Source organism: Homo sapiens, chromosome 2 (genome assembly GCF_000001405.40).
Source record: "Homo sapiens chromosome 2, GRCh38.p14 Primary Assembly".
In the NCBI taxonomy this organism is placed as follows: Eukaryota; Metazoa; Chordata; class Mammalia; order Primates; family Hominidae; genus Homo; species Homo sapiens.
The window spans coordinates 97,272,235-97,296,405 of record NC_000002.12 but is presented as its reverse complement, the minus strand read 5'-3'; the positions used below and the strand labels follow the sequence as shown (position 1 = coordinate 97,296,405).

The following is a 24,171-nucleotide window of genomic DNA, read 5'->3' as shown; positions in this document are numbered from 1 at the left end:
TGTTCCCCACCCTGTGTCCAAGTGTTCTCATTGTTCAATTCCCACCTATGAGTGAGAACATGTGGTGTTTGGTTTTTTTTCCTTGTGATAGTTTGCTGAGAATGATGGTTTCCAGCTTCATGCATGTCCCTAAATAGGACATGAACTTATCATTCTTTATGGCTGCATAGTATTCCATGGTGTATATGTGCCACATCTTCTTAATCCAATCTATCATTGATGGACATTTGGGTTGGTTCCAAGTCTTTGCTATTGTGAATAGTGCCACAATAAACATACGTGTGCATGTGTCTTTATAGCAGCATGATTTCTAATCCTTTGGGTATATACCCAGTAATGGGATGGCTGGGTCAAATGGTATTTCTAGTCCTAGATCCTTGAGGAATCACCACACTGTCTTCCACAATGGTTCAACTAGTTTACAGTCCCACCAACAGTGTAAAAGTGATCCTATTTCTCCACATCCTCTCCAACACCTGTTGTTTCCTGACTTTTTAATGATCGTCATTGTAACTGGTGTGAGATGGTATCTCATTGTCGTTTTGATTTGCATTTCTCTGATGGCCAGTGATGATGAGCATTTTTTCATGTGTCTGTTGGCTGCATAAATGTCTTCTTTTGAGAAGTGTCTGTTCATATCCTTTGCCCACTTTTTGATGGGGTTGTTTGTTTTTTTCTTGTAAATTTGTTTGAGCTCTTTGTAGATTCTGGATATTAGCCCTTTGTCAGATGAGTAGATTGCAAAAATTTTCTCCCATTTTGTAGGTTGCCTGTTCACTCTGATGGTAGTTTCTTTTGCTGTGCAGAAGCTCTTTAGTTTAATTAGATCCCATTTGTCAATTTTGGCTTTTGTTGCCATTGCTTTTGGTGTTTTAGACATGAAGTCTCTGCCCATGCCTATATACTGAATGATATTGCCTAAGTTTTCTTCGAGGGTTTTTATGGTTTTAGGTCTAACATTTAAGTCTTTAGTCCATCTTGAATTAATTTTTGTATAAGGTGTCAGGAAGGGATTCAGTTTCAGCTTTCTACATATGGCTAGCCAGTTTTCCCAGCACCATTTATTTAATAGGGAATCCTTTCCCCATTTCTTGTTCTTGTCAGGTTTGTCAAAGATCAGATGGTTGTACATGTGTGGTATTATTTCTGAGGGCTCTGTTCTGTTCCATTGGTCTATATCTCTGATGGGACGTATCTCAAAATAATAAGAGCTATTTATGACAAACCCACAGCCAATATCATACTGAATGGGCAAAAACTAGAAGCATTCCCTTTGAAAACTGGCATAAGACAGGGATGCCCTCTCTCGCCACTCCTATTCAACATAGTGTTGGAAGTTCTGGCCAGGGCAATCAGGCAGGAGAAAGAAATAAAGGGTATTCAATTAGGAAAAGAGGAAGTCAAATAGTCCCTGTTTGCAGATGACATGATTGTATATCTAGAAAACCCCATTGTCTCGGCCCAAAATCTCCTTAAGCTGATCAGCAACTTCAGCAAAGTCTCAGGATACAAAATCAATGTGCAAAAATCACAAGCATTCTTATACACCAATAACAGACAGAGAGCCAAATCATGAGTGAACTCCCATTCACAATTGCTTCAAAGAGAATAAAATACCTAGGAATCCAACTCACAAGAGACGTAAAGGACCTCTTCGAGGAGAACTACAAACCACTGCTCAATGAAATAAAAGAGGACACAAACAAATGGAAGAACATTCCATGCTCATGGATGGGAAGAATCAACATTGTGAAAATGGCCATACTGCCCAAGGTAATTTATAGATTCAATGCCATCCCCATCAAGCTACCAAAGACTTTCTTCACAGAATTGGGAAAAACTACTTTAAAGTTCATATGGAACCAAAAAAGAGCCCGCATTGCCAAGTCAATCCTAAGCCAAAAGAACAAACCTGGAGGCATCATGCTACCTGACTTCAAACTATACTACAAGGCTACAGTAACCAAAACAGCATGGTACTGGTACCAAAAGAGAGATAAATTGGAAATCTAACAGAAGCATTCAGAACTACATGTCAAGCCCAAGTCACTTTTAGATATTTGAGAATGTGTACAAACCATATGGGTGTACTTTCCCCAAAAGTGTGTTTTTTGCAGTAGTGGTTAGGAGTATTCTTTTGTGAGATGGTATTTTTCTTAAGCAACCACCATTTAGATTCTTAGTTCTCTTAACTTTTAGGTTAACAACTCAATACATCTTCCAAGTGTCCTCGTATACTTTTTCCGGTTTGACTATTAGTTTAGGTGGTGCCTATGGCCCATTTAAACTCGGAGACTCTGAGGCTCTGATGTGTATCCATCTGGTTAGAGTATGTATGAGTAAAGCCAAGGTCAGTCAATGACTTGACCTCACTACCTTTTCCAAAATTTCTAGTTCTAACATTGGCTAGCAATTTTGAATGCTTGTCAGACAAATACCTCAGAGTCCTTGCCCTGCTAATGCAGTCATTATTAAGAGTGAAAATTACATTGTGTTGCCTTATTTAATGATGTAATGCTGAGTAAGCATTTATAGAGCACCTATTCTGGGAAAGATTAAAAATATACAAAGTGATAATAAATGGTCTCGTCTTAAGAAGCTTAAGAGGAAATATGACATATTAACAAGTTGCCATGAATTAAGGCATCATATAATAATACAATAAGAGAGTATAAACTATTTTAATAAACATGTTCTACAAAATGGAGCATTTGGATCCTGAAAGGGGGCTAGAATTTAAAAGTATGAGTTGAGAGAGAAAGCATTCCAGTCAGAGGTACCAGCAGAAAAAGTAGCTCTGAGACAGGCATTGGAATTATCAAATATATTTTTCTTCAGATTTTATGAAAGTATGCTTATCCATGAATGCTGAAGTGCTTATCTATGTCAACATTTTGTTAAAGAGTTACTCAAGCTCAGAAAATATAGGGAAATTTTATTTATATTTTCTCAGAAAATATATTTATTTAATTTAATTTTCTCAGAAAATATATTTATTTCTATATTTTCTCAGAAAATATATTTATTTCTATATTTTCTCAGAAAATATATTTATTTCTATATTTTCTCAGAAAATATATTTATTTCTATATTTTCTCAGAAAATATATTTATTTCTATATTTTCTCAGAAAATATATTTATTTCTATATTTTCTCAGAAAATATATTTATTTCTATATTTTCTCAGAAAATATATTTATTTCTATATTTTCTCAGAAAATATATTTATTTCTATATTTTCTCAGAAAATATATTTATTTCTATATTTTCTCAGAAAATATATTTATTTCTATATTTTCTCAGAAAATATATTTATTTCTATATTTTCTCAGAAAATATATTTATTTCTATATTTTCTCAGAAAATATATTTATTTCTATATTTTCTCAGAAAATATATTTATTTCTATATTTTCTCAGAAAATATATTTATTTCTATATTTTCTCAGAAAATATATTTATTTCTATATTTTCTCAGAAAATATATTTATTTCTATATTTTCTCAGAAAATATATTTATTTCTATATTTTCTCAGAAAATATATTTATTTCTATATTTTCTCAGAAAATATATTTATTTCTATATTTTCTCAGAAAATATATTTATTTCTATATTTTCTCAGAAAATATATTTATTTCTATATTTTCTCAGAAAATATATTTATTTCTATATTTTCTCAGAAAATATATTTATTTCTATATTTTCTCAGAAAATATATTTATTTCTATATTTTCTCAGAAAATATATTTATTTCTATATTTTCTCAGAAAATATATTTATTTCTATATTTTCTCAGAAAATATATTTATTTCTATATTTTCTCAGAAAATATATTTATTTCTATATTTTCTCAGAAAATATATTTATTTCTATATTTTCTCAGAAAATATAGAAAATATAGGGAATTTTTAGTTTATATTCTTTGATTTTACCATGAATCTGAATTTCTGTTATTTAATTGTTTAAATAGTTACTATAATTTTTGTGTTAAAGATAACACATTATAGAATATCTAATTTACTTATCACCTTCAGGAAAATCAAATAAGCATTTGTGAAGTGTCAACTATTTTCTCTGCAGTGGTGCTTTTCAAACTACCCAGAGTGAAAGACTTTTATTTTTTGTAAAATGTAAAATATTGTGGCAATGTCAGATTGCTATAAAAGGTTTTCAAATCTGTACTTCCAGGTACTTCAAAATTAGTTTGCAGATTAGTACCAGTGGTCTTAGTACAATTTGAGTAGCTACAGTAAGTAAGGAGTTGATACAAAAGAAATACAGCATATTGTCACCATCATTGGTATAAGAATGTTGTGGGGAGGACTAGGCTTACCTATGTAACCAGTGGAAAATGCAGCATATGGTACAATTACTAAAGATAAATATAGACATAAAGAAGAGCGATGATAAAACTGTTCTGGATCCCAGTTAAAATCTTTGGGGTTACTGCTTAACTCTCTGGACTCACAGCCCCGACCCACCATCCCCAATGTGCAGTTTCACTCATGGAAAAAAAGTGTCTAGACCAGCAGCTGAGGATGCATTTACTCTATGTTCAGCCCACTCAAAATACAGTTCTGTAATCAGAATACAAAAACAACCACCAACAACAACATCAGCCCAACTTTCTTTACTGTGTTTCATTTAATGCTGAAATCAGACAATGATTAGAACATGAAACTTTGTTTGAAAAAGTATATTCAATAAATTTTGTATTTAAAACAGAGCTCTTGACCTATAAAGTATAAAAAGTAATTACAATGAAATATTCTTCAGTAAATCTGACACTTTGGGATTCCAGGCAAAAGGATCGCTTGGGTGCCAAGAGTTCAAGACCAGCCTGGTCAACATAGTGAGATTCTATCTCTGAAAAAAAAAAAGAACAAAAAACAAAAGTTAAACAAATCAGTAAATCTGAGATGCACTGGTATAATTCACTGGCTTGCCCAGTTGGTACTCTCTTAGCCGTGGCTATTCCTGATGACTAACTGGCAGTAAAAGCCAGGAAATTATGGAGGTCTACTGAGGAGTCCCCTCTCGAAGTGAAGTTTTCCCATTATTTACACTTAAGAAAAAATTAATGTGAGATTGGATTTTAAACATCCCCATTAAAAACAGAAGAATGGAGGGAAGAAGGTGGGTGGGGAGGGAGAGAGAGAGCTGAATAAAACATTTACTTTATCATTTATCTTTTAAAGTCACATGGAATGCCAATTCCAAAATCACTTAATTTTTAGAACCACTGCAATCTAAACACTGTCATCAGAAACATGCCAAGTGTTGGTTCTCTGTGGTAGGTCTCCCATCTTACTTATATTTTCACTGTATTAAACTTTACCCTTGCATGGGTTTACCCTCCAGCCTCTGAGCCTTCATTAACTAGGACCCTATCTACCTGCATGTTTTGCTCTCCACTTTCTTTGCCATTCACTGGCCCCTTCTTTAGTGTTTGGTCTTCAGGTCGCCACTTTCCCTTTTAGCTAATTCCATTACTCTGATTTTCTCTGTTCCTTTAGCTACCCTATCCTAGAACAACTCTCCCAGGGATGAAAATGGGGACTTCAGAATTGAGAAATAAAAGGGAAGATGTTATGACAACCTTCCTATCTTATTTTTTGGTAAATCCACTCTTTCCCTGTCTCTATCTCTCTCTCACACACACACACACACACACTCACACACACACAGAAATTTACAGGGTAAGAGAGATTAGGAAGATAATTTTGGTGGTAGAGTCAAGAAGAGGTTGAAGAGGTGCTAATATTAAAAGAGAGATTTGAATAAAATGTTTTTAGAATTCATAGGCATTATGATATTCTATTGTAAAATGCTATTGGTTAAAATTATCTTTGTATGGGCAAACTGAGTCTCTGTCTCCAGCTGTCTGTGAACAAGCTATTCAGTTCACTAAACCTCAGCACCTCATCTGTGGAATGAGCACCATAGTAGCTCCTGTCATAAAGGTTAAATGATTTTGTAAAGGACAGATTACAAAGCATATATAAAGTATTTGATTTTTTGTTATTAAAATACTTATAATGTCTGTAATATTTTTAAAGTAAAGAGGTATAATGATTTATACTTCTGTTTATTCTAGAAACTGATTCTTAGTTGAGCTCGGAGGTTTTTCAACTTTTCTTTCAAATATTGAGATAAATAACATTGATCTATCTATTTATCTATCTATCTATTTTGAGATAGGATCCTACTTTGTCACCCAGGCTGAAGTGCAGTGGCCTTTGTCTTCCAGGCTCAGGTAGGATCCTCCTACCTCATCCTCCCAAATATCTGGGACTACCAGTGTGTGACACCACCCCCAGCTAATGTTTTTGATTTTTTTGTAGAGATGAGGTCTCACTATGCTGACAAAGCTGGTTTTGAACTCAAGTAGTCCTCGTGTCTTGGCCTCCCAAAATGCTGAGATTACAGGCATAAGCCACTGTGCCTGTACTTTTATTTTATGTAGATCACCATCCCTTACTGAGTATCACATAACTGTTATTATAAATCTTGAATAAGAGATTACATGTTTTGGCCAGGCACGGTGGCTCATGCCTGTAATCCCAGCAATTTTGGAGGCCAAGGTGGGCAGATCACCTGAGGTCAGGAATTCGAGACCAGCCTGGCCAAAATGGTGAAACCCCATCTCTACTCAAAATACAAAAAAAAAAAAAAAAAAAAAAAAAAAATTAGCCAGGTATGGTGGCACATGCCTGTAGTCCCAGCTACTGGGGAGGCTGAGGCAGAAGAATTGCTTGAACTCAGAAGGCAGAAGTTGCAGTGAGCTAAGACCATCCCACTGCACTCCAGCCTGGGCAAATGAGTGAGAATCCATCTTAAAAAAAAAAAAAGACTACATATTTCATACAGTATTCCAAAACCAAAAACAACACTATGCTTTGCTTTTCGTTACCATGAATCTATAAGTTATTAAGCTTTCAGTACTGCAAATATTGTCACATATTAACAGTTTGACTTGAAAATACGTGTAATTTCTACTAAAAATAGAAAAGAAAGGCCTTGTCTTTAGAAGCTTCCAAGGAACATTATAACAGAAGTTATATTTTCCACAATTTGGGTTCAATTAATCTTATATATTGCAATTGACTTAAATAAAATTTTAATTTTTGAACACTTTAAGGTTTACAGAAACATCGTGAAAATAGTATAATATTCCTGGTAAGTACCCAAACTCTGCTTTCTCTATTACTAAAATTTTATATTAGTGTGGTGCATTCATTACAATTAAGGCATCAATATTGTCATATTATTATTATCTAAAGACCATACTTGTTCAGAATTCCTCAGTTTTTATTTAGTTTCCATTTTCTGTTCTAGTGTACATCCTAGAATCTTATATTACATTTAGTCATTGTGAGACAGACTCCAGGTCAGTAAGTGCTGAAACAGGGGATGTTAAAAAAGAACCAACATAGATTACAAAAGGAAGACTCAAAGCTTCCAGAATGATTTTCTTTCTATCTAAAATCATTTTCTATCTTTCATCCTATCAGCACTCATAAATTACACACACTCATAACCTGCCACAATTTACTGGCAGATTGTGAAGCGGGAGCAGGCATGTCACACAGTGAAAGCAGGAACAAGAGAGTGAGGGGGGAGATACCACACACTTTTAAACAACCAGATCTTTTGAGAGCTCACCTGCTATCATGAGGAGTACCAAGGAGATAGTACTAAACCATTCATGAGAAATCCACCCTCCTAATCCAGTCACCTCCCTCCAGACCCCACCTACCACACTGGGGATTACAGTTCAACATGAGATTTGGGTGGGGACACAGATCCAAACTATATCACAGGGGTTTCCCTATGTTGCTTAGGCTGGTCTCAAACTCCTGGCCTCAGGTGATCTTCCTGCCTCAACCTTCCAACGTGCTGGAATTAGAGGTATCAGCCACCATGCCCAGCCAGAAATTTCTTTCTCAAGGGGCTTTTCATCTCACTGGAAATTTTAGTTTAGGGATCTCCCAACTTACAAAGGGTTTGTGTTCCAAAATTTTGTTTCTAAGTCAGGTAGGCTCACTTTCCTACAGAAAATGAGAAGAAGCCAGTCCCAAAGCAAGCAATAAAAGCCTGTTGCCTCACAAGTGAACTATGATGTTGCTAAATCCATCAGGAGTAGTTTTACTTTTGCTCTTTGTTGAATGGGCTACTGTGGGCCTGTGGGGGCACCTAACCACCATTTATCTTATTTCTTTGAAGCAGGTCATGCTGTCACGTGTGGTCAAAAGGGAATTAGTGATGATAATGGAGCTTTCTCTGCCTCTCTCCCTCTTGACTGCCAAGGTCCAGGGAAGTTCACATCTCAGTGGTCACGGGCTGGCCAAGTAGATCCCCACCAGTTGCTGGATAATGCCTGTGAACTACTGGCTAGCATCTATTCTGAAAACCTAGCTTCTGGTTTGCTTGTTTATTCACCAGTATCTCACATAATTTTCTTATGACCATCTGGCACCTAATATAGATCCCAAAAGAGTTTAAGAGGATTTACCCTTTAGGCAAAAAATACTGGCAGTGTTTATAATCCCCTCAAAAAGAGAGAGGGAGAAAAAAAGAAAGAAGAAATGTTTTTAAAGGAAGAGATAGCACCATGTAACTATAAATAACTCTCTATATCAGACTGAAAATAAATTTTTGTTTTTTCTTTATTTTGGCTCATTTGGTAAGCTAACAAACTGGAAGAAAAGAACCAGTTTTAACTAAACAACTCTAAAAGATTTCAGAATTTGAAAACTTAGAGTTATGAATAGATTTGATTCACTTAGCCCCAAAACTATCAAAAGAAGTATATAAAATATTAATAGTCACCAAAACCATTGAGCTATAGAATTCCAGATATTGAAATTCTAAGGAAATGTTGTTTTAGAATCAAATCATGTACTAGGCTGAAATTAAATCAAATACCATTACTGAGTATTGTTATTAGGATAAACATCTTTCCATACTTTGGTGAAATTGGAAATACTCTTGCAGAAGTGTTTTCATCTCTCACCCAGAAAAAGTAAATAATGACCTTCTTCCTTCTTCCACTTAATGTAAAATCCTACATTTACATATATTGTGTCATCCCTTGTTTTGTGATTATTTGCTTACAGATTTTCTCTAGGTGCTCTCTAAGCAGAGAGAACAGGGTACTGGTTAAGATTGTAGATCTAGGGGATCACTGATCTAGGTCCTATTCCAAATTTGATTCCTCACCTGCTAAGCTTGCAAGTGCAACTTATTTAAATTCTCTGAAGGTTAAATGTTTCATCTAAATAGGGATAATAATAAACACCTATAGCATAGAGTTGTTTGAGATTAAATGAGATAATACATGTAAAATTATGTGCCTGGCATACAGCAAGATTGTTGTTGTTGTTGATGATGATGATGATGATGATAATATTTTTCTATCCCCAGTGCACAACTGCTTGAACCTATTAGATAATCAATACATGTTTCTTGAACTGAGATCAATTTCCCCATGTTGTCTGACTGATGAAGCCCTACATTTTCTTCTAGAGGAGATGACATTTGAGCAAGATCTTAAAGAAAATCAGATGCCTTCACCTGACCACTGCTTGGTGATCCCATGGCACTTTGTACATCTCTCCATTAGCTCTCATCTCACCAGCCCATCATTATTGTATGTGCTGCCTTCTGAAGCTTGCAGCTGGCTACATCAGGTAGAATAAAATCATCCTTTCATAAAATAGTGACCTCCTTTTTTATTTGCATTTCCAAAGCCAAGCACGTGGTAGGTAGACAACAAATGCTTGCTCCTGGGCTGCGCTAAAGGCATCTATAACCACTAAGCCCAAAGAGTGTGGTGTCCCTTCAAAAGGAAGGAGCCAGTGTTTATATCACTTTTTCTTGACCTTCACGGCTCCACTCAAAGCCCACCTCCAGCATGAGGCACTATCCAGTCCAATCCACAGTGATCACTCCCTTTCTGAGTCCTTCTAGGAAATCAGACACAGTCATTTGAGGTGTGTGTTAGTAATCTTTCCTCAGATGCCCTGTGAGCTCTTTTGCACAGTACCAAGGCATGTAATAGGCAGGAAACGTATTTAATTGCTTGGCTTAGTTCTAGTTTTCAATGTGTACTTCTCCAGAATTATCCAATTAACCCTAACTTGAGAAGATAGGCAAACTGGATTTGCACACACTGGAGTCAATTCCTGATATCCCCGGGGGTGTGAATGAACAGAGGTCTTCTTGCTGGCTTCTGTAACAGTATCTCTCTTTGGCCAGCACCCAATTTTTGGAACCATTATGAGCACACAAAAACAGCATTTTACACAAATCAAGAAATAGCTCCCAACCATGTCTTTGTGGCATTGTTAAACAACAGTAAATTGTACTTTGAGTTCTATTTCCTCTAATTAAATGAAATGAGAAGTGGGCCCAAGTCCCCCAGAAAGAGACTGGAGGGAACCACGATGTTTCCTGTGATTAGATACACCACTAAGGAAATCTGACCCTGAGCAACTGAAAGCTGCCTATTCTCATTAAGAAGAGCTACAGACTGACCCTTTTCAAAGACTAGTAACTGGACACATTTCTTTCACAAATTATCTTCTTTTCCCTTCTTCATACCAGGAATTCTCAGGGATTATAATCCTCATCAATATAACAAGCCTCCAAAGTCATATTTTTTAACTTTGTGAAATGCCCTCCCACCTAACTACCCCATTTGACACCTGCAACCATCCTCTAGAGAGGCAGACAAGATCGACCGTCTCACTTTACAGAAGTGCAAAGAGTAGCTGGCCTAATGCCACAGCCAATGAACAGATGAAGGAGGCCTACAACCACCTAGTCTTCCCTACTTCTCCTCACTCCTCCCCTCTGACCTCCTTATGTCACCACTGACCAATGGATCACTGTGTGGCCGTTCAGCATCTTCCTATGCTGTGTCAGGCAAGAGAAATTCTGGAAAGAGAGCATCTCATGTTTATTAAGGAGACTGGGTGTCCTTGTAGAAAGTCCTGCCATGCACAACCCCGGTCTTAACTGATGTGTTTCACCATACTGAAGGCAAGTTGCCATCTAACATAGTTGAAGGGGAGCCAGTTGTGGTGATCTTTGTTCCTGCTGAAATATGGAAAGAAAATGAGGAAATGAGCTCATTTTCAAAGAAAATGAACATTCTTTCACATGAAAGAAATAGGAGCAAAGTGACAGGAGAGAAACAAAGCTTAGGGTTGGTGTGAGATACACAGACAGGGTGTTAGCCCCACAAACAGTGCTGCTGGGCCAAGTTAACTCCCTGTTTTTCCCTATATATGTGGTGTGGAAAAGCTATTTATAAAATGTGTTTAAATATTTAGGACCAAATAAATCAACATTGTTAGGAAACATTGACTCTGACCAGAACTCATTTCCTCACCCTAGTCCAATGTGAATAACAAAATGAAGAATATCAGGATGATTCGAGACCAGGAATACTACAGATGTCCAACACTTCCACCTGGAATCCCCAAAGAGGCCCGCTTTTAGCCTCCACACTGGTTGGTGACCTGACATGAGAGAAATGACAGAAATCTCAGAAGACTGGCCTCATGAATAATCTTCAGTTTCAATGTAACAAAGCAAGCCTTCTAGAAATTACCTGCCTCTGCAGTTCACTCTGCTGCTTCAGATGAAAATTTTCAGGTCTGTCTGCCACTGTAGTGAAGCACTGCTTTGGGTAGTGTCTGTGGAGAAACTTTTTAAAGGACATAGTTGAAATATTGTGCTACAAACCAATTCTTGAACACCACTCATTTTGTCCTACCTCTCTGTGACCGTGAAAGACGGCTGTGCTCTTGGCAAAGGTCATCTCTCTGTCATGAGTCTGGATCTCCTTTTCTTCTCCTGATTATCTGTCACTCAGTTATCCCCACTCTCTTCCACAACTTTAACTTCAGCTTCTCTATTCTAAGAGACTCTTCTCGCAGGCTCAAGGCTCTCCTACCCTCCATCATTCCTCCCTCTACCCCACACAGCCAGCATGTGTCCAGCTAGTCTATCCTTCAGCCAAACTTCCTTAGAAAGAGGCCTTACCTCACTGTCCCTACCCATCTACTCTCTGACTCACTTCTTAACTCCATGACTGGGTTCTGGTTTCTTTCCCTTGCCTGTTGTGACTTCCTATGGACACAGCCAAAAACCATCACATAGTCCTGTTGTATGGCATCCCCACCATCTTGAAATGTCCTCTCCCTCAGTTCCTATGTGTTACCACACACGCCTGCCTTGGCTTCTCCCTCTAGTTGTTCCTTCTCTGTCTTCTGTGGGCTTCTTATTGTCTGCTCACTCCTTCTTCAGTGTCCTCTCATGGGCTTCCTTCCCTTCTCAGCTGATGCCATCACCTGGGGAATCACAGTTACTCAGCAGCACTGGGGCCTCTCTATCTCTATGCTGGTCATGCCTATGTGTGAGCTGCAGACCCAGTGGAATTTCCATTTGTGCATCCCATGCCCAGCCCACCCTCCACCAGCCTCGAATGCAGCTGTTCAGCCCTACCCCAGTCCTCAGAAAAGTTCCTCTCCCTGGATCCCCTTTTTCCTTCATGAGTGCCCGGTTGCCCAAGTCAAAAACCTGGGAGTGATATAAACTCCCCACACATCCAGTCAGTCACTCATCAACTCTATTGATTCTGTCTGCTAAATATATCTCAATTGTATTAACTTAAACATATGCATAATACATCTTCTTCTTCACTGCATTTTTGTGGGCTGCACTTACCTTTCAGGTAACAACAACACTGGCCCCTCTTGCCCTTCTAGTCAGAAGTGCCAAAATGATGAGAGCTAGCCATGACAAACCCACAGCCAACATTACACTGAATGTGCAAAACTGGAAGGGCATCCAAACAGAGGAGGGAAGAGAGGAATAGACAGGAAGTCAAACTGTCTCTGTTTACAGATGACATGTTTCTATATCTAGAAAGCCCCATAGTCTTGGCCCCAAAGCTTCTTCTGCTGATAAACTTTAGCAAAGTCTTAGCATACAAAATCAATGTGCAAAAATTACTAGCAGTCCTATACATCAAGTCAAGCAGAGAGTCAAATGAAGAACACAATCCCATTCATAATTGCTACACACAGAAAAAATAAGATACCTAGGAATACAGCTAACCAGGGAGGTGAAAGATCTCTAGGAGATCTCTAGAAGAATTACAAAACACTGCTCAAAGAAATCAGAGAAGACACAAACAAATGGAAAAACATGTCATGCTCATGGATAGGAAGAATTAATGTCATTAAAATGGCTATACTGCCCAAAGTAATTTACAGATGCAAGTTATCCCTATTAAATTACCAACGGCATTCCTCACAGAACTAGAGCAAACTATTTCAAAATTCATATGGAACCAAAAAAAAGAGCCCTAATAGCCAAGCAATCCTCAGCAAAAAGAACGAAGCTGGAGGCATCATGTTACCCAACTTCAAACCATACTACAGGGCTACAGTAACCAAAACAGCATGATACTGATACAAAAACAGCTCATCATTTTGAGCTATGTTTCTTCAATACCCAGATTTTTTAGAGTTTTTAATATGGAGAGGCATTGAATTTTATTGAAAGCCTTTTCTGCTTATATTGAGATAACCACATGGTTTTTATCTTTAGTTTTGTTTATGTGATGAATCAGATTAATTGATATGTGTATGTTGAGGCAACCTTGCATCCTGGGGATGAAGCATACTTGATCATGATGGATTAACTTTTTGATGTGCTGCTGGATTTGGTTTGCCAGTATTTTGTTGAGGATTTTTGCATTGATGTTCATCGAGGGTATTGGCCTGAAGAGTGTGTGTGTGTGTGTGTGTGTGTGTGTGTGTGTGTGTGTGTGTGTGTGTGTCTGCCAGATTTTGGTATCAAGATGATGTTGGCCTCATAGAATGAGTTGGGGAGGAGTTCCTCCTCCTCAATATTTTCAAATAGTTCCTGTAAAAATGGTACCAGCTCTTCTTTGTATTTCTAGTAGAATATGACTGGGAATCCATCATGTTCTGGGCTTTTTTTGGTTGGTAGGTTATTTATTACTGATTCAATTTCGGAGCTTGTTATTGGTCTGTTTACAGCAAATCAATTTCTTCCTGGCTCAGTTGTGGGAGGGTGTATTTCTCCATGAATTTATCCATCTCTTTGAAGTTTTCTAGTTTGTATGCATAGAAGTGTTTGCAGTAGTTTCTGATGGCTGTTTCTATTTCTGTGGGGTCAGTGGTAACATTCCCTTTGTCATTTCTAATTGTGTTTCTTTCAATCATCCTCTGTATTAGTCTGCTAGCAGACTTTCTTATTAATATTTTCAAGAAACCTACCCGGAATTCATAGATCTTTTGAATTTCTTTTTTTCATGTCTCGGTTTCTTTCAGTTCAGCTCAGATTTTCAGTTATTTCTTGTCTTCCTCTAGCTTTGGGGTTTTGTCTTGCTTCTCTAGTTCTTTCAGTTGTGATGTTAGGTTATTAATTTGAGTTCTTCCTAACTTTTTGATGTGGGATTTAGTGCTATAAATTTCCCTCCTAACATTGTCTTAGCTGTGTCCAGAGGCTCTAGTATGTTGTAACTTTGTTCTCATTATTTTCAAAGAGCTTCTTGATTTCTGCCTTAATTTCATTATTTATTAAAAAGTCATTCAGGAGCATGTTGATTGATTTCCATGTAATTGCATGATTTTCAGCAATTTTCTTAGTCTTCTATTTTTACTGCACTGTGATCTCAGTATGTATTTGGTATGATTTCAGTTGTTTTGCATTTGCTGAGGATTGCTTTATGTCCAATTATGTGGTTGATTTTAGAGTATGTGGCATATGATGATGTGAGGAATGCATATTCTGTTGTTTTTGAGTGCAGAGTTCTGTAAAGGTCTATCAGATCCATTTGATCCAATGTTGAGTTCAGGTCCTGAATATCTTTGTTCATTTTTTTGCCTCAATCATCTGTCTAATACTGTCATTGGAGTGTGGAAATCTCCCACTATTACTGTGAAACATACTTTGTAGGTCTCTAAGAACTTTACTTATGAATCTGGGTGCTCCTGCATTGGATGAATATATATTTAGGATAGTTAGGTCTTCTCGTTGAATTGAAGCCTTTGCCATTATGTAATATCCTTCTTTGTCTTTTCTATTTTATTTTAAGTTCCAGGATACATGTACAGGATGTGCAGGTTTGTTACATAGTTAAACATGTGCCATGGTGGTTTGCTGCACCTATCAACCTATCACCTAGGTATTAAGCCCCACGTGCATTAGCTATTTATCGTGATGCTCTCCTTCCCCCTACCTTCCCAACAGGCTCCGGTGTGTGTTCTGCCCCTCCCTGTGTCCATGTGTTCTCATTGTTCGGTTCCCACTTATGAGAACATGTGGTGTTTGGTTTCCTGTTCCTGTGTTAATTAGCTGAAGTTTATGGCTTCCAGCTTCATCCATGTCCCTGCAAAAGACATGATCTCATTCCTTTTTATGGCTGCATAGTATTCCATGGTGTATATGTATCACATTTTCTTTATCCAGTCTATCATTGATGGACATTTGGGCTGATTCCATGTCTTTGCTATTGTGAATAGTGCTGCAATAAACATAAGTGTGCATGTATCTTTAAAACAGAATGATTTATATTTCTTTGGATATAAACCTAGTAATGGGATTGCTGGGTCAAATGGTATTTCTGCTTCTAGATCCTCCAGGAATTGCCACACTGTCTTCCACAATGGTTGAACTAGTTTACATTCCCACCAACAGTGTAAAAGTGTTCCTGTTTCTCCACAGCCTCTCTAGCATCTGTTGTTTCTTGACTTTTTAATAATTGCCATTCTGACTGGCATGAGATGGTATCTCATTGTGGTTTTGATTTGCATTTCTCTAATAAACACTAGTGTTGAGCTTTTTTTTTCATATGTTTGTCGGACGCATAAATGTCTTCTTTTCAGAATGTCTGTTCGTGGCCTTTGCCCATGTTTTGATGGGGTTGTTATTTTCTTGTAAATTTGTTTAAGTTCCTTGTAGATTCTGGATATTAGACCTTTGTCAGATTGGTAGATTGCAAAAATATTCTCCCATTCTGTAGGTTGCTTGTTCACTCTGATGATAGTTTCTTTCCCTGTGCAGAAGTGCTTACGTTTAATTAGATCCCATTTATCAATTTTTGCTTTTGTTGCAATTGCTATTGATGATTTCATCATAAAATCTTTGCTCATGCCTATGTCCTGAATGGAACTTCCTAGATTTTCTTCTAGGGTTTTTTACAGTTCGGGGTTTCACATTTAAGTTTTTAATCCATCTTGAGTTAATTTTTGCATAAGATGTAAGGATGAGGTCCAGTTTCAGTTTTCTGCATATGGCTAGTCAGTTTTCCCAGCACCATTTAAATAGGGAATCCTGGCCAAGTGCAGTGGCTCATGTCTATAATCTCAGCACTTTGGGAGGCTGATGCAGGTGGATCTTGAGGTCAAGAGATCAAGACCATCCTGGCCAACATGGTGAAACCCCGTCTCTTCTAAAAATACAAAAACTAGCTGGGCGTGGTGGCTCGAACCTGTAGTCCCAGCTACTCAGGAGGCTGAGGCAGGAGAATCACTTGAATCCGGGAGGCAGAGGTTGCAGTGAGCTGAGATCATGCCGCTGCACTCCAGCCTGGTGACAGAGTGAGACTTTGTCTCAAAATAAATAAATAAATAAATAAATAGGTATTCCTTCCCCCATTGCTTGTTTTTGTCAGGTTTGTCAAAGATCAGATGGTTGTAGATGTGTGGTCTTATTTCTGAGATCTCTATTCTGCTCCATTGGTCTGTGTGTCTGTTTTGGTAACAGTACCATGCTGTTTTGATTAGTGTGGCCTTGTAGTATAGTTTGAAGTCATATAGCATGATGCCTCCAGCTTTGTTCTTTTGGCTTAGGATTGTCTCGACTATTCAGTCTCTTTTTTGGTTGCATATGAAACTTAAAGTAGTTTTTTTTTAATTATGTGAAGAATGTCAATGGTAGTTTGATGTGAATAGCACTGAATCTATAAATTACCTTGGGCAGTATGGCCATTTTCATGAGATTGATTCTTCCCACCCATGAGCATGGAATATTTTTCCATTTGTTTGTGTCCTCTCTTATTTCCTTGAGCAGTGGCTTGTAGTTCTCCTTGAAGAGGTTCTTCACATCCATCGTTAGCTGTATTCCTAGGTATTTTATTCTCTTTGTAACAATTGTGAATGGGAGTTCATTCATGATTTGGCTCTCTTGCCTATTGTTGGTGTATAGGAATTGAAGAATATTGTCTATTGCTGGTGTATAAGAATGCTTGTGATTTTTGCACATTGATTTTGTATCTTCAGACTTTGCTGAACTTGCTTATCAGCTTAAGGAGTTTTTGGGCTGTGACGATGTGGTTTTCTAGATATAGAATCACATTTTCTGCAAACACAGACAATTTGATTTTATCTCTTGCTATTTGAACATGTTTTATTTCTTTCTTTTTTTTTTTGAAGGGTTTTTCATGTCTCTGTCTCCTTCAGTTCCACTTTGATCTTAGTCATTTTTTTTTTTCTCTTCTGCTAACTTTTGGATTTGTTTGCTCTTGCTTCTCTAGTTCTTTTAGTTGTGATGTTAGGGTGTCAATTTGAGATATGTCTAGCTTTATGATGTGGGCATTTAGTGCTATAAATTTACCTCTTAACACTGCTTTAGTTGCCTCCCAGAGATTCTGGTACATTGTCTCTTTGTTCTCATTGGTTTCAAAGAGCTTCTTGATTTCTGCCTTAATTTTATTATTTACCCAGAAGTCACTCAGGAGCACGTTGTTCAATATCCATGTAGTTGTGTGGTTTTGAGTGAGTTTCTTAATCTTGAGTTCTAATTTGATTGCACTGTGGTCTGAGAGATTGTTATGATTTCAGTTATTTTGCATTTGCTGAGGAGTGTTTTAATTCTAATTTTGTGATCAATTTTAGAGTGTCATATGCCACTAAGAATAATATATAGTCTGTTGTTTCGTGTTGGAGAGTTCTGTAGATATCTATGAGATTCACTTGATCCAGAGCTGTGTTCAAGTCCTTTCTTGTCAATTTTCTGCCTAGATGATCCAATATTGACAGTGGGGTGTTAATGTCTCCCACTATTGTTGTGTGGTAGCCTGAGTCTCTTTGTAGGTCTCTAAGAACTTGTTTTGTGAATCTGGGTTCTCCTGTATTGGGTGCATACATATTTAGGATAGTTAGCTCTTCTTGTTGAATTGATTCCTTTATCATTGTGATGTTCTTCTTTGTCTTTTTTTATCTTTGTTGATTCAAAGTCTGTTTTGTCAGAAACTAAGATTGCAACCCCTGCTTTTTTCTGCTTTCCATTTGCTTGGTAAATTTTCCTCCATCGCTTTGAGCCTATGTGTGTCTTTGCACATGAGATAGGAACCCTGAATACAGCACACCTGAATCTTGACTCTTTATATCCAATTTGCTGGTCTGTGTCTTTTAATTGGTACATTTAGCCCATTGACACTTAAGGTTAATATGGTTATGTGTGAATTTGATCCTGTCACCATGATGCTTGCTGGTTATTTTGCTCACTAGTTGATGCAGTTTCTTCATAGTGTCATTGGTCTTTGTACTTCAGTACATTTTTGCAGTGGCTGGTACCAGTTTTTCCTTTCCATCTTTAGCACTTCCTTCAGGAGGTCTTGCAAGGCAGGCCTGGTGGTGATAAATTCCCTCAGCATTTGCTTGTCTGAAAAGGATTTCTCCTTCACTTATGAAGGTTAGTTTGGCCAGATATGAAATTCTAGGTTAGAAATTCTTTTCTCTAAGAATGTTGACCATTGGACCCAACTGTCTCCTGGCTTGTGGGGTTTCTGCTGAGAGGCCCACTCTTAGTCAGATGGGCTTCCCGTTGTAGGTGACCTGCCCTTTGTCTCTGTCTGCCTTTAACATTTTTTCCTTCATTTTGATCTTGGAGAATCTGATGACTATGTGTCTTGAGGGTTGATCTTCTTGTGGAGTATCTTACTGGGGTTCTCTGGATTTCCTGAATTTGAATGTTGGCCTGTCTTGCTAGGTTGGGGAAGTTCTTCTGGATGATATCTTGAAGTGTGTTTTCCCAACGTGGCTCCATTCTCCTTGTCTCTTTCAGGTAGTCCAATCAGTCATAGGTTTGGTCTTTTACATAGTTCCACAGTTCTTTGAGGTTTTGTTCATTCCTTTTCATTCTTTTTTCTCTAATCTTCTCTGCCTGCCTTATTTTGGCAAGACAGTCTTCAAGCTCTGATATTCTTTTTTCTGCTTGATCAATTCAGCTGTTGATACTTGTGTTTGCATCACAAAGTTCCCCTTATGTGCTTTACAGCTGGCTCTGGTCATTTATGTTCCTCTCTAAACTGGTTATTCTAGTTAGCATCTTCTGTAATCTTTTAACATGGTTCTTAGCTTCTTTGCTGACAGAAGTAGGGTTCAGAAGGTGGGTAATAACAAATTTCACAGAGCTAAATGAGCATGTTCTAACCCAATGCATTGATTTCTCCACCTCCCTTTCAGGGATGCCAGTGATTTGTAGAATTGGCCTCTATATATAACCCCATACTTATTGGAGGTTTTCTTCCTTCCGTTTTATTCTTTTTTATTTTTGTCTGTCTTATTTTAGAGAACCAATCTTTAAGTTCTGGGATTCGTTCCAATATGTTGGGTTAGAGCGTACTCCTTTAGCTCAGTGAAGTTTGCTACTACCCACCTTCTGAAGCCTACTTCTGTCAATTCATCCATCTCAACCTCCACCCAGGACTGTGCCCTTGCTGTAGAGGTGTTGTGATCATTTGGAGTAAACAAGTCACTCTGGCCTTTTGAGTTGTTAGGGGTTTTTCATTCCTTTCTCATCTTCATGAGTTTGTCTCATTTTGATCTTTGAGGCTGCTGACCTTTAGATGAGGTTTTCGTGGGGACTTTTTGGTTGATGTTGTTGTTGCTTTCTGTTTTTCTTTCGACAGTCAGGTACCTCTTCTGTAGGGCTGCTGTGGTTTGCTGGGGATTCACTTCAAGCCCTATTTATCTGGGTCCCTCCCACACCTGAAGATGTCACCAGAGGGTGCTGGAGAACAGCAAAGATGGGACCCCACTCCTTCCTCTGGGATCTCTGTCCTTGAGGGGCACCCACCTGATGCCAGTAGAAATGCTCCTGTATAAGGTGTCTGGTGACCCACTGGGGTGTTTCACCCAGTTGAGGGGCACAGGATCCAGGACTTGCTTAATGAAGCACTTTGATTGTCCCTTTGGGAAGGGGGTATGCTGTGCCGGGGAAAATCCCACTCATCTGGGCTGCCTGGAATCCTCAGAGTGAGCAGGGGGAAAGAACAAGTCTTCCGGTTTGTGGAGACAACAGCCAGCCACCCCTCCCACTAGGGACTCAGACCTAGAGAGATCAGAGTTCTCTCCCTAATTCCCTGGCTTGAGTTGCTGGAGTTCCTGCAGGGAGGCCCCACCCAGTGAGGAGGGATGGGTCAGGGTCAGCCTAAAGAGGCAGTCTGGCCATGATCTGCCACAGCCAGTATGCTGCGCTGTGGGGAATACCTCTTGGGACCAAGCCGTCCAGTCTTCCTGGCATCAGCAAAGGAAAAACAGCAGCCTGGATCTGTAGAAATGGCTGCCGCCCTTCCTCCCCAGGAGTTCAGTGTCTTAGGCAGCTAGCAGCCACAGTGATGGCTGCTGTCCCTTCTTAGGGAGCTCAGTTTCCTCAGGCAGCAGGCAGCTGCAGTGATGATGACTGCCCCTCTCTTGGGAAGCTCAGTTGTCTTAGGCAGCCAGCAACCACAGTGATGATTGCTCCCCCTCCCCCAGGGAACTCAGAGGGTTTAGGCAGCAGGCAGCCACAGTGATGATGACCACCCCTCCCCAACTTGGGAACTCGGTAGTTTTAGGCAGACTCCAGCTGAGTGGCTGTTGAGAATCTGCATGGCTCTGTGGTTGGCACCCAAGGCCCTCGTGGTGTGGTCTCATGAGTGGGATCTTCTGATCTGTGGATTGCAAAGATCCATGGAAAAAGCAGTTTCCCAGGCTGGGTAGCATGCTCACTCACTGCCTCCCTTGGCTGGCTGAGGGTGAGGGCTCCCCTTGCCCCATGTGGCTCCCAGGTGGGCCAATCCACCAGCCCATCTTTCCTTGTTCTCTATGGGTCACGGCAACCACCTAGTCAGTCCTGATCATAGAACCTGGATATGTCAGTTGCTGCTGCAGGATTTGCACACTCTTTTAGTTCTTCTCAGTGGGAGCCTCAAACTGCAGCTGCTTCTAGTCGGCTATCTTGCCCCTGCCCCCTTGTCCTTTTGAAAAATTATTGTTCATTTGAAATCTGTTTTGTCTGAAATTAGGATTGCAACCTCTGCTTTTTTTCTGTTTTCTATTTGTCTGGTAGATTTTTCTCCATCCTTTTAGTTTGAGACGATGAGTGTCATTATGTGTGAGATGGGTCTCTTGAAGACGACATACCATTGGGTCTCGCTTTTTTTTTTTTTAAATCTAGCTTGCCACTCTGTGCCTTTTAAGTGGGGCATTTGCCCATTTACATTCAAGGCTAGTATCGATTTGTGTAGATTTGATCTTGTCATTGTGCTGTTGGCTGGTTATTATGTTGGCTTTTTTGTGTGGTTGCTTTATAGTGTCACCGGTCTGTGTGTTTAAGTATGTTTTTGCATTAGCGTGTAGTGGTCTTTCCTTTCTATATTTAGTCCTCCTTTCTAAAATCTCTTGTAAGGCAGATGTGGTGGTAATGAATTACCTCAGAATTTGCTTGTCTGTAAATGATCTCATTTCTCCTTCATTTAGAAAGCTTAGTTTAGCTGTATATGAAATTCTTGGTTGAAGATTTTCTTTAATAATGTTAAATATAGTCCCCCAATCCCTTCTGGCTTGTAGGATTTCAGCTGAGAGATCTGCTGTTAGCCTAATGGGGTTCCCTTTGTAGATGGCCTGCCCTTTCTCTCTGGCTGCCTTTAACATATTTTCCCTCATTTCGACCTTGGAAAACCTGATGTTTATGTGTCTTGAGGATGGTCTTGTGTAGAATCTTGTAGGAGTTCTTTGTATCTCCTGAATTTGACTGTTGGCCTTTCTAGCAAGGTTAGGGAAGCTTTCAAAGATGATATCCTGAACTACGTTTTCCAAGTTGTTTGATTTCTCCACCTCCCTTTCAGAGATGCCAGTGATTTGTAGAATTGGCCTCTTTATATAATCCCATCCTCCTTGAAGGTTTTGTTCATTCTTTTTTATTTTTGTCCATCTTATTTTAGAGAACCAATCTTCAAGTTCTGAGATTCGTTCCTCAGATTTTTTTTTCTGCTGTTAATACTTGTGATTGCATTGTGGAATTCTTGTATTGTGTTCTTCGGCGCTTTCAGATCGGTTAGGTTCTTTTTTATTATACCAGCTACTTTATCCTTCAGCTCCTGTAACACTTTACTGTTATTCTTATTTTCCTCGGATTGGGTTTTGCCATTCTCCTGAGTCTTGATGATTTTTTTTCCTATCCATATTCTGAATTATATTTATGTAATTCCAGACAGTTCATCCAGGTTAAGAACTCTTGTTGGAGAACTGGTGTGGTTGTTAGAAGGACATATGACACAGAGGCCATTTGAGTTACTGGAGTTCTTGCATTGGTTTCTTCTCATTTCCACCTATGGGTTTTCCTTTAATTGCAGTGTAGATTGAGTACAGTCCGTAGACTTATTTTCGGATGTTTTCACCAGGCTGAGGCTTTGTGCAGGGTCTTTATTTGAAGCTGACTTCTCATTTCTGGTTTCAGAGGGGAGTATATTAGTAAGGTATTTTTGATGCTGAAGCTTTGGGATGTGATCCAGTAGGTGGCACTTGGGCTTACTGGTCAGTTGGTAGACTCTTGCTTGGTCATGTGGCTCCCCTATGTTTCCTTACAGTTGCAGCCATGTTCCCTCTCAATGATCTGAAAATGTGCTTCTCTCCCCCTTGAGTGCTGGCTGTAGGTCATGGCTTGGCACTCCTAGGCTGCCCACTGCAGCTCTGGGGCAATCTCAGTGTTTATATTTCTTTCCTAACTTTGAGGCAGAAGAGGAAGGGACATTAGTAGTGGTTGTAGCCAAGGGTCTTTTGTTTGTCTCCTCAGAGTTCCACCACCCCTGGAGAATACAGCAACTGTTTACTGCAATCAGCAATCAGGATGGAGAATTCGTGCTGTGGGGGCCAATCCAGGGGTTCCCTGTCATGAGCAGTGGGGAGTGTGTAGAACCCATGAGAGATGGGCTTTGGTCAATTAAAGCTTGTTGAAGGTGTAGATAAGGGTGTTAGCTCCTTCATCAGTCTGAGGGTAGCAAGGACAGTTCCACTGCAGAAGCAGTGGCAGAGAGGCTTTCAGTTGCCCCTGGAGGCTCTCTCCAGGGAGTGGCTGAGTTGCTACTGGCTCAACAGTTCTGGTAGGGGGGGTTAGGTAGAGGTCCAGGCCTGCAAGACTTGCCTAGTGAGAAGATATAGGAATGGGAACCCAGGTAACAGTCTGGCCACTTTTCCATAGGGCTGCTGCAGTATGCCCAGGGCCCGCTCCAGTCTCTAGTAGCCTCAGATTTTCCAGTACCTGGAGTTATCATCAGTGAAGCCTGTGAAACAGCAAAGATGGCAGCCTACCGCTCCCTTTGGAAGCTTTGCCCTAGGGAGGTATGAATGAACTTGTTGCTGGCCCAAACACACCTGTAGGAGGTGGCTGGAGACCCCAGTTTGGAGGTTTTGCCCAGTGAGGAGGAATGGCATTGGGAAAGTGCTTAAAAACGCAGTCTGGCCTCATTTTTATAGAGCAGCTGTGGTATGCTGAGGGTCCACATCACCCCCTGGTCTCCTTGGACACTCCAAAGACTGAAGGTTGAAGTGGCTAAGTTGCAAAAACAGCAAAGATGGTGGCCTGCCCCTCCATCAGGGAGCTCCAGCCCAGAAAAAATTGAAATCACTGTCAGCAGGAGAACACCAGTGGGGGTGGTTGGAGGCCCCAGTTGGGAAGTCCCAAACAGTGAGGAGGAATGAATCCGGGACCTACTTAAAGAAGCAGTCTGGCTATGCTTTTGTACAGCAGCTGTGCTGTGCTGGGGGGCCATATCCGCCCTAAGTCAGCTGGGACTCCTTAAAGCCCAAAGGCTGGAATGGCTAAGTTGCCAAAACATCAAATATGGCGGCCCACGCCTCC

At 39.3% G+C, this 24,171-nt stretch overlaps 1 long non-coding RNA gene across 2 annotated transcripts; it reads right to left on the bottom strand.

Annotated features, from left to right (window-relative positions):
- Nucleotides 1-4,527: 4,527 nt before the first annotated feature.
- On the bottom strand, nucleotides 4,528-17,689 carry LOC100506076 (uncharacterized). Of its 2 annotated transcripts, none has more exons than NR_103732.1 (4): nucleotides 17,662-17,689; nucleotides 11,621-11,716; nucleotides 11,399-11,528; nucleotides 4,528-4,866 (listed from the first exon to the last, which is right to left on the bottom strand). It is a non-coding gene; the product is annotated as an uncharacterized LOC100506076 (long non-coding RNA). The 2 variants fall into 2 exon arrangements; NR_103733.1 differs by lacking the exon at nucleotides 17,662-17,689 and adding an exon at nucleotides 12,233-12,471.
- Between the last annotated feature and the right edge of the window lie 6,482 nt (nucleotides 17,690-24,171).